Source organism: Homo sapiens, chromosome 3 (genome assembly GCF_000001405.40).
Source record: "Homo sapiens chromosome 3, GRCh38.p14 Primary Assembly".
NCBI classification, from domain to species: Eukaryota; Metazoa; Chordata; class Mammalia; order Primates; family Hominidae; genus Homo; species Homo sapiens.
This window is the reverse complement of record NC_000003.12, coordinates 141,137,472-141,149,157: the sequence shown is the minus strand read 5'-3', so window position 1 is coordinate 141,149,157 and position 11,686 is coordinate 141,137,472. Positions and strand designations below refer to the sequence as shown.

The window sequence follows — 11,686 nt, the reverse complement described above, 5'->3', positions numbered from 1 at the left end:
CTGGGTCCCTGGAAATTGGCACAGCGCATGCTGTTGGCTGGTACTGCTGAATGAATGCTATTCCAGTCCTTACCCAGACCCTATCCTGACTCTAACTCCTGAACTGCTATCAGCTCTGAGCCTGGCCTTTCTTTACACTCATGCTTCAACAATTTGCACTGCTCCTTGGTGACAACATGCATTCACTACAGTCACATCCAGCCCCACCTCCAGTCCACTTGGAAACTGGTGTTCCATAGGGTTTGCCCTGCCTGACCCTAAGCCCCTTTGCAGGGCTACCCCTTGGCTCTGGCAACAGGAGGCTGAGTTGTTTCTCCACCATAAGGTCAGCTTTGCATGTACCCAGGACACAGGCACATTCTCTTGTCCAGGGCAGGCCTTTGCAAAATAGCTGGAGTTTGGGCTCAAGCAAGGACCACAAGTCAGAAGAGACAAGAAATGTCTAAAGAGGGATTCACGTGCCTGGCTTCTATCAGTCTGACGGACCAGGCAGGTTGATGGAAGAAGCTCTCTGGGTCCCTCCCCAAACAACATTTAATACGCAGCTGAAGGACTGAATGACAAACTTTATTAGAAACGCTCTTCATTCATCAGTCAAATTCACATTAAGGTGGGGGCAGTGGGGTGGGGAGGAAGAGGCAGTGCTGTCTGGGGCTCTGATATCCCACTGCTGTGATGATTTCCAGTTAAAAATGAGTCTGGGCAGAGAGTGTCTGAAACATATAAGAGGTGGCAGCAGCAGTGGCGGCGGAGGCAGCAGCAGCATTCCTGCGAGAGGACCAGGCTCGGAGCAGGTAGAGAATGTGTCTCCCATATCCACCCTTCCAGTCACAAGGCTGCCCCCATGGACCTCAAGCTGATAAATAAACAGCACATCACACACACATTTGAAACAGGAAACAAACTTGTAGAAGTCTCCTAAAGTGAAAAAATAATTTGCTCAAATAAAGCTTTGTGACAGCCATGCCGCACCCTGAATGGACGTTGCCCAGAGACCCTGACACTCCAGGAAGGCCCCCCAACCCAGGACACATCAGACTTGGGTGTCACAATGCCCCCAGTTCCCCCGTTAGCACCTTTGGACTAAGTACTGTCCTCTCCGCATTCCTCTTTTAAAATGCAAATGCTACTTAAAATAATGGTAAGGATATGCTCTTCCCTGGGGCAAACCAGTCAGACTCATCTTCCCTGAAGAGAGGTGTCTGGGCATCCAGAGAACTGTGAGTCAGTGGCTGGGAAGGGGAGCACGTGGAAAGGGGTAGGTAAACAACGTTCAAAGAGGTAAGCCGGAAGGTGTCTCCACACTGCACTGTCCACTTGCCAGGTCTGCGGTTGGGCCTCCTGGGAACAGTCTCTCAAAGTGGCACAGAGTCCTAAAACGGTGTGACAATCCTGCCGCCCTGGCAAGGCGTATGGGCCAGGAGGGGCACGGCGTCAGGCTTTCATCATTCATTATTCAGAGGCAATTTTCCCCCTGCACTGGCTAATTTCTCCCTGGCCCTGTCTGCAACGGGGCACACAATAGAAAGTCTCCTGCCTAAATGTTTTATTCATTCTCTTGAATAAGGAAACAGGCTCTCTGATCAATACGGTGGCTGCTGTGTCCTGGTTGGTGGCAGGATTTCCAGGAGGTGCAGACTCCAGGCTCTCTGTGGCTCCGAAGGAGGTGTCTGACTTGGGAGGGCTGCCTCGAGGGCAGTAGATACTGTTGGCAAGAGACCTTTCGTTTCCAAAGTTGGTACCACATCCTGGTCTTTGAAAGAACTGAGTGTCCTGGGGAGCCAGGAGAAGGGTAGATCCTTTCCCCTATGTGCCATGGGACTGTGAATGACAGGAGGGTCGGGCCCTGCGGTGTGTGTCTGTGTCTGTGCTGCCCATCAGGCTTGGCTCACTGGTACTGCAGATAGTTTTTGAGAGACTGAGGCAGGGGCAGGGAGCTGATGTCCTGCAGGCGCTGGCGGCCCAGGGCCGAGCGGATGGATCTCCGGCACAGGTCCATCAGTGGCAGGGGCTCGGCTGCAATGAGAGGGAAGCAGTTAGAGTGTGCCCTGTGCCATCCTGGCACCTTCTCATCCCAGCCCCCACTGCATACCGCCTCCTGCCTGCTCCTCTGAGCTGGCCTTCAGGGTCAATGGCTTCTCCTTGGAGAAGATTTCTCTGGTTACATAAGCTGAAGGCCTAGAGGAGTGTTCATTAGACTGTGGAATGCAACCAGTGAGACTAAAGAGTCACAAAATCAATTCAATGGGTGGTGACCAGCCATAATTTTTTTTAAAAAAAGAGAAAATGGGAGCAATACCCATAGCAAGGATAAATATTGTTTCATGAAAGCCTTGTCTCTGGTCTCTGATGTAGGTGTTCAGCGTGTCTTTTTTTTTTTTTTTTAGATGGAGTCTTGCTCTGTCGCCCAGGCTGGAGTGCAGTGGCACAATCTGGGCTCACTGCAAGCTCCGCCTCCTGGGTTCACGCCATTCTCCTGCCTCAGCCTCCCTAGTAGCTGGGACTACAGGCACCCGCCACCAGCCCGGCTAATTTTTTGTATTTTTAGTAGAGACGGGCTTTCACTGTGTTAGCCAGGATGGTCTCGATCTCCTGACCTCGTGATCGCCCTTCTCGGCCTCCCAAAGTGCTGGGATTACAGGCGTGAGCCACCGCGCCCGGCCTGGTGTGTCTTAATGTGAAAAGGACTTCTCACTTCAGGTCATGATGGAAAATGTTTAAAAGCTGGTGGCCTTGGGTGGATCTGCAGAGGGGTTTCCTCTACAAACAGGTTAGATTCTGAGAGGCTGTCTGAAATGCCTGTGAACCCTGAAACTTCCCCTATAGCTTTCCTTGATGGTCAGCAGCGGGTTACATTTTCTTCCAGCACCTAGTTCTGGAAAAATTTGTAAGTTAAAATCCATAAATAATGGAACCACTGGACATAGGACCAGTTAAACCAACTTTAACTAGGTTTATTGCAGACCCCCTTATTAAGCTCTTATTCTGGTCCAGGCCCTTTGATTAGCCCTGGGGATACAGGGATAACTAAGCTAGCACCAGAGGCAGCTCTGGAAGAGGGTGGGGGCAGGTAGGGGGGTGGTGGAGGCTCATGATCTGGGATTTTAAATAGGTGAATCATTTTAATAGAGTGTAATATATGCAATAATTCTTAAATATACAGGTACAGAAACTGGGAATTTCTTATATAGAAGAGCTGTTTGAAAGCTTCACAGAGAGGACACATAATGGGGTTTTGAAGAGTGAATAGGAGGGTTAAAGGCACATAAGGGTGGGGAGGGTATCCTAGGCAGAGAGAACAGGCAAAGGCAAAGGAGGAATAAAACAGGACAGCCTGGAGGTTTGTGGGGAGAGGAACAGTGCTGATCAGTTAGCATCAGCTGGAAGGAAGATGATGATGGTGGTCACATGGCATCTGGTATGGTTTGTACAGGCCTGGTTTCCCCAGTCCTCCAGGAGTATGCTGGAAGCCTGAACCTGCATCTTAATACTTTTTTGGTAATAGAATAAATGATATTTCATAAACATCCTATAATGTACTAAGATACAACAAAACTGTTGAGTGGTAAATACTAACACAAGAGTTGTGATAGGAATAGTACCACAGAGAAAGGCCCTCTACAGATCCACCCGAGGCCTGCAGCTTTCAAACATTTTTTTATCACAACCTGCAGTGAAGTACTTTTTACATGGGAATGTAGTCAAGAGTCGAGAATATGTTTTATAGGAATTTTTATTTACCTGAGCTGCAGAGTTAATAAGGGGAGCCATTAAAATTAAAGTGGGGCTTGGGGAGCATGCTTTGGAAGCTGTGCACAAGAGTACATCCAGCTCTCCTTCACTTGAGGCCAGATCCCAAGGCTATCTGCAGGGAGCACTAGTGACTCCAAACACTCACCTCTGTATCCTCTTTTTTATCTTTTTTTTTTTTTAATTTTTTGTATTCTCTTTTTAAAATAATTATTATTTTTATTGTATAATTCCACTTGTACAAAATCTTCAGAATAGTCAAATATGGAGACAGTATATCGATCCTCATACAAAATGAGGCTGGACAGGGGAAGCCCAGCCATGCCCTATTTTCCAGGTGCAGAAGGCTGATCGCTCACCTCCCAGTCACCCAATCACTGTGCCTAGGCCAACATTTGACAACCCTCCCTCAGGGTGTCCCCATCTCTCCTCCAGCAACACCCTTGTACCCAGTTCTCCCACTCCCTGTCCCCCATCTGGCATCAGGAAAACTGAGCTGTTAAAATTTCAAAATCATTGGCAGACCTTAAGAGATTTTCTTATCACTTTAATGCCCTAGGCACATAATAGGTATTCAACGCCCAAAATGCTTAGCCTTGTCAGCAAACCCAACTCCCTGTGTGTTGCCTGCCCAATTAGGGGCTGAAGAGGACAGAATGTCTTTTATCTTCATCTCTCTGCAGTCACTGAAATCAATCTAGATTCTAAATTCCAAAGGAAGAAGGAAAAGGAGTTCAGAGTACGTTGCTAGCTCTAAATGTGAAATATAAATCATCTCTCCGAACTTCTGAGGGGAGAGTAAACTGACAATTCCAAAGTGCACAGAGAAAGTCCTTGAGTTCCTGCCCCCACTGTGGAACTTTAAGAGCTCGGAGAGTGCCCAACGTTGGCTGCGCCCATTCTCTTGGCTCTTCTTTCTCACCTCTCCTGGCTTTGAGGCTTTTCTTAGAACTACCAAATGTCAAAGCTTGGAAATAATCACCTGGATAGGAAAGGAAGCACAGAATTTTCCAGTATGGGAGCTATTCTTAGAACTATTTTTTGACTAAAGATAAAACCGAAAAAGAATCATTGTTCATAAAGGTGAATATCCAAATGGCCAATAAACATATGTAAAAGTGCTCAACTTCATGAATCATCAGGAAAGTAGAAATTAATACCATAATATGACTCTGCCACATACCAACAAGGAAGACTAAAATGATGATATCCTCTTTCCTGTGATGCCTGGGACTGAAGTCTGGAGTGATGAAGACGTCTGATAGGATCTGCTTAGAAGTTGTCAAATATTTAGCCAAAATTCAGAGTTAACTGCATAGCTTGTCCTCCAATCCAGGTTTGCTCAAACAGCTGTGGTGATTCAAAGATTGTCTATGCAGACTCAACTGATGAACAAATAAATGTCCCTGACACTGTTAGGAGCTATTAATTTGGTCTTTTCTAAAAATAGGCTTTTCTTCTACTTTTTATTGTCTACTTACATTTATATATTAATGTAAAAATGAGGACTCATATGTTTGTCTACTTCTAAATTTTTATTCATTCTGTAACTCTCAGATGTAATTAAAATAACATAATGAAAAGAAGGAGCAGGCCACTGCAAATTCTGTGAAACAGGAAAAAAACTCTGGTGCTCTCTTGAAAGCACCACCTCCTGGCTGGAGGCCAACCAACTCAGGACATTACAGCAACTCATGACAGAACAACCTTGCTCCAAGGAAGGAGAAACAGGAGTTAATTCCACTGCATGCCAAATCCTGGCTAGCAAGTGGGTCCCAAGTCTGTCCATATTACAATCTCACTGCTAGCATAACCAGCATTAGAGAAAGCCAGCACACTAAACATCTATAACCAAAGACTCTCACAGAGTCTACTTCACTCCCCTGCCACCTCCACCAGAGCAGGTGCTGGTATCCACAGCTGGGAGACCTGAAGACAGATCCCATCATAGGACTCTTTGCAAACATCTCCCAGCACCAGCCAAGAGCCTGGTAGCCCCACTGCATGGTTAGACCCAGAAGAGCAATACCAATCTTTGCAGTCCAGCTCTCAGGTAGCCCCGTCCCTAGGGGAAGCAGGAGAGTACCACATCAAGGTGAATAAAAATCCACCAACCAAGTATCTGCTGTCTTCAAGAGACTCACCTAGCACACAAGAACTCACATAAACTTAAGGTAAAGTGGGGAAAGAGATATTCCATGCAAATGGAAACCAGAAGCAAGCAAGAGTAGCGATTCTTATAACAGACAAAACAGGTTTTAAAGCAACAACAGTTTAAAAAGACAAAGAGGGGGCCAAGCGTGGTGGCTCAGACCTGTAATCCCAGCACTTTGGGTGGCCAAGGTGGGCAGATCACAAAGTCAGGAGATGGAGACCATCCTGGCTAACACGGTGAAACCCCATTTCTACTAAAAACACAAAAAATTAGCTGGGCGTGGTGGCGGGTGCCTGTAGTCCCAGCTACTCGGGAGGCTGAGGCAGGAGAATGGTGTGAACCTGGGAGGTGGAACTTGCAATGAGCTGAGATCATGCCACTGCACTCCAGGCTGGGTGACAGAGCGAGACTCTGTCTCAAAAAAAAAAAAAAAAAAAAAAAAAAAAAAAGACAAAGAGGGACATTATATCATAATGAAAGGATCACTCCAAGAGGAAAATATCACAATCCTAAATATATATGTACCTAACACAGGAGCTCCCAAATTTATAAAACAATTATGACTAGACATAAGAAATGAGATAGACAACTACACAATAGTGGGGGACTTCAATGCTCCACTGACAGCACTAGACAGTTCACCAAGACAGAGTCAACAAAGAAACAATGGAGTTCAACTATACCCTAGAACAAATGGACTTAACAAATATTTACAGAACATTCTACCCAACAACTGCAGAATATACATTCTTTTCTTCAGCCCATGGGACATTCTCCAAGATAGACAACATGATAGGCCACAAAACAAGTCTCAATAAATTTAAGAAAATCAAACTTATATCAAGTATCCTCTCAGACCACAGTGGAATAAAATTGGAAATTAACTCCAAAAGGAACCATCAAAACTATACAAATACATGGAAATTAAATAATCTGCTCTTGAATGATCTTTGGGTCAACAATGAAATCAAGATGGAAATGTAAAATTTCTTTGAATGGAACGATAATAGTGACACAACTTACAAAAACCTCTTGGATACAGTCAAAGCAGTGCTAAGAGGAAAGTTCATAGCATTAAATGCTTACATCAAAAAGCTGAAAGAACATGAATAGACAATCTAAGGTCATACCTCAAGGAACTAGAGAAACAAGAACAAACTAAACTCAAACTCAGCAGAAGAAAATAAATAACAAAGATCACAGCAGAACTAAATGAAATTGAAACAAAAAATACAAAAGATAAATAAAACAAAAAGCCAGTTCTTTGAAAAGATAAACAAAACTGATAGACCATTAATGAGAATAACCAAGAAAAGACAAGAGAAGATCCAAATAAGTTCAATTAGAAACAAAACAGGAGATATTACAACTGATACCACAGAAATACAAAAGTGCATTCATGGGGATTATTAACACCTTTACACATACAAACTAGAAAATTTAAAGGAGATAGAAAAATTTCTTGAAATATACAACCTTCCTAGATTAAATCAGGAAGAAATAGAAATTCCGAACAGACCAGTAACAAATAGTGAAATTGAAATGGTAATAAAAAATTGCCACCAAAAAAAAAGTCAAGGACCAGATGGATTCACAGCTGAATTCTATCAGGTATTCAAAGAAGAATTGGTACTAATCTTTCCGAAACTATTCCACTGCTGTTGCTGCTGCCTATAGACTTTCAGATCATCTCCCTCTTCTGTGTCAGGGAAAGCTCCTGGCTGGTGCAGACACAACCCAATAGCAGTTTAATATGTAATATTGAAAAACTGGGGGGGTGGAGCCAAGATGGCCGAATAGGAACAGCTCCAGTCTACAACTCCCAGCGTGAGCGATGCAGAAGATGGGTGATTTCTGCATTTCCAACTGAGGTACCGGGTTCATCTCACAGGGGAGTGCCGGACAGTGGGTACAGGACAGTGGGTTCAGGGCACCATGCATGAGCCAAAGCAGGGCGAGGCGTCGCCTCACCTGGGAAGTGCAAGGGGTCAGGGAATTCCTTTTCCTAGTCAAAGAAAGGGGTGACAGGTGGCACCTGGAAAATCGGGTCACTCCCACCCTAATACTGCGCTCTTCCAACGCCTTAAACAAACGGCACACCAGGAGATTATATCCCGCACCTGGCTCGGAGGGTCCTATGCCCACAGAGCCTCACTCATTGCTAGCACAGCAGTCTGAGATCAAACTGCAAGGCGGCAGCGAGGCTGGGGGAGGGGTGCCCACCATTGCTCAGGCTTGAGTAGGTAAAACCAAGTGGCCAGGAAGCTCAAACTGGGTGGAGCCCACCACAGCTCAAGGAGGCCTGCCTGCCTCTGGAGGCTCCACCTCTGGGGGCAGGGCACAGACAAACAAAAGACAGCAATAACCTCTGCAGTCTTAAATGTCCCTGTCTGACAGCTTTGAAGAGAGTAGTGGTTCTCCCAGCACGCAGCTTGAGATCTGAGAACGGGCAGACTGCCTCCTCAAGTGGGTCCCTGACCCCCGAGTAGCCTAACTGGGAGACAACCCCAATAGGGGCAGACTGACACCTCACACGGCCGGGTACTCCTCTGAGACAAAACTTCCCAAGGAACAATCAGGCAGCAGCATTTGCGGTTCACCAATATCCGCTGTTCTGCAGCCACCGCTGCTGATACCCAGGCAAACAGGGTCTGGAGTGGACCTCCAGTAAACTCCAACAGACCTGCAGCTGAGGGTCCTGTCTGTTAGAAGGAAAACTAACAAAGAGAAAGGACATCCACACCAAAAACCCATCTGTACGTCACCATCATCAAAGACCAAACATAGATAAAACCACAAAGATGGGGAAAAAACAGAGCAGAAAAACTGGAAACTCTAAAACTCAGAGCGCCTCTCCTCCAAAGGAACGCAGCTCCTCACCAGCAACGGAACAAAGCTGGATGGAGAATGACTTTGACGAGTTGAGAGAGGAAGGCTTCAGAAGATCAAACTACTCCAAGCTAAAGGAGGAAGTTTGAACCAATGGCAAAGAAGTTAAAAACTTTGAAAAAAAATTAGACGAATGGATAACTAGAATAACCAATGCAGAGAAGTCTTTAAAGGACCTGATGGAGCTGAAAACCAAGGCACAAGAACCACGTGACGAATGCACAAGCCTCAGTAACTGACGCGATCAACTGGAAGAAAGGGTATCAGCGATGGAAGATGAAATGAATGAAATGAAGCGTGAAGAGAAATTTAGAGAAAAAAGAATAAAAAGAAATGAACAAAGCCTCCGAGAAATATGGGACTATGTGAAAAGACCAAATCTACATCTAATTGGTGTACCTGAAAGTGACTGGGAGAATGGAACCAAGTTGGAAAACACTCTGCAGGATATTATCCAGGAGAACTTCCCCAATCTAGCAAGGCAGGCCAACATTCGAATTCAGGAAATAGAGAACGCCACAAAGATACTCCTCAAGAAGAGCAACTCCAAGACACATAATTGTCAGATTCACCAAAGTTGAAATGAAGGAAAAAGTGTTAAGGGCAGCCTGAGTGAAAGGTGGGGTTACCCACAAAGGGAAGCCCATCAGACTAACAGCTGATCTCTCGGCAGAAACTCCACAAGCCAGAAGAGAGTGGGGGCCAATATTCAACATTCTTAAAGAAAAGAATTTTCAACCCAGAATTTCATATCCAGCCAAACTAAGCTTCATAAGTGAAGGAGAAATAAAATACTTCACAGACAAGCAAATGCTGAGAGATTTTGTTACCACCAGGCCTGCCCTAAAAGAGCTCCTGAAGGAAGCACTAAACATGGAAAGGAACAACTGGTACCAGCCACTGCAAAAACATGCCAAGTTGTAAAGACCATCGAGGCTAGGAAGAAAATGCATCAACTAACGAGCAAAATAGCCAGCTAACATCATAATGGCAGGATCACATTCACACATAACAATACTAATCTTAAATGTAAATGGGCTAAATGCTCCAATTAAAAGGCACAGACTGGCAAATTGGATAAAGAGTCAAGACCCATCAGTGTGCTGTGTTCAGGAAACCCATCTCACGTGCAGAGACACACATAGGCTCAAAATAAAGGGATGGAGGAAGATCTACCAAGCAAATGGAAAATAAAAAAAGGCAGGGGTTGCAATCCTAGTCTCTGATAAAACAGACTTTAAACCAACAAAGATCAAAAGAGACAAAGAAGGCCATTACATAATGGTAAAGGGATCCATCCAACAAGAAGAACTAACTATCCTAAATATATATGCACCCAACACAGGAGCACACAGATTCATAAAGGAAGTCCTTAGTAACCTACAAAAAGACTTAGACACCCACACAATAATAATGGGAGACTTTAACACCCCACTGTCAACATTAGACAGATCAACGAGACAGAAAGTTAACAAGGATATCCAGGAATTGAACTCAGCTCTGCACCAAGCGGACCTAATAGACATCTACAGAACTCTCCACCCCAAATCAACAGAATATACATTCTTTTCAGTACCACACCACACCTATTCCAAAATTGACCACATACTTGGAAGTAAAACACTCCTCAGCAAATGTAAAAGAACAGAAATTATAACAAACTGTCTCTCAGACCACAGTGCAATCAAACTAGAACTCAGGATTAAGAAACTCACTCAAAACCACTCAATTGCATGGAAACTGAACAACCTGCTCCTGAATGACTACTGGGTTCACAAGGAAATGAAGGCGGAAATAAAGATGTTCTTTGAAACCAACGAGAACAAAGACACAACATATCAGAATCTCTGGGACACATTCAAAGCAGTGTGTAGAGGGAAACTTATAGCACTAAATGCCCACAAGAGAAAGCAGGTAAGATCTAAAATTGACACCCTAACATCACAATTAAAAGAACTAAAGAAGCAAGAGCAAACACATTCAAAAGCTAGCAGAAGGCAAGAAATAACTAAGATCAGAGCAGAACTGAAGGAGATAGAGACACAAAAAACCCTTCAAAAAATCAATGAATCCAGGAGCTGATTTTTTGAAAAGATCAACAGAGTTGATAGACCACTAGCAAGACTAATGAAGAAGAAAAGAGAGAAGAATCAAATAGATGCAATAATAAATGACAAAGGGGATATCACCACCAATCCCACAGAAATACAAGCTACCATCAGAGAATACTATAAACACCTCTATGAAAATAAACTAGAATATCTAGAAGAAACGGATAAATTCCTCGACACATACACTCTCCCAAGACTAAACCAGGAAGAAGTTGAATCTCTGAATAGACCAATAACAGGCTCTGAAATTGAGGCAATAATTAATAGCTTACCAACCAAAAAAAGTCCAGGACCAGATGGATTCACAGCCGAATTCTACCAGAGGTACAAGGAGGAGCTGGTACCATTCCTTCTGAAACTATTCCAATCAATAGAAAAAGAGGGAATCCTCCCTAACTCATTTTATGAGGCCAGCATCATCCTGATACCAAAGCCTGTCAGAGACACACAAAAAAAGAGAATTTTAGACCAATATCCTTGATGAACATTGATGCAAAAATCCTCAGTAAAACACTGGCAAACCAAACCCAGCAAAACATCAAAAAGCTTATCCACCATGATCAAGTGGGCTTCATCCCTGGGATGCAACGCTGGTTCAACATATGAAAATCAATAAACATAATCCAGCATATAAACAGAACAAATGACAAAAACCACATGATTTTCTCAACAGATGCAGAAAAGGCCTTTGACAAAATTCAACAACCATTCATGCTAAAAACTCTCAATAAATTAGGTATTGATGGGACATATCTCTAAATAATGAGAGCTATCTATGACA

The 11,686-nt window shown here is 44.1% G+C and overlaps 1 protein-coding gene across 1 annotated transcript in view; it reads right to left on the bottom strand.

Annotated features, from left to right (window-relative positions):
- Window positions 1–546: 546 nt before the first annotated feature.
- Window positions 547–11,686, bottom strand: part of SPSB4 (splA/ryanodine receptor domain and SOCS box containing 4) — a 97,265-nt gene continuing 86,125 nt past the window's right edge. Inside the window, exon 3 of the mRNA NM_080862.3 lies at window positions 547–2,016. Coding sequence (NP_543138.1) covers window positions 1,889–2,016 — 128 coding nt within the window. The 3' untranslated portion in view covers window positions 547–1,888. The remainder of the gene's footprint in view (window positions 2,017–11,686) is intronic.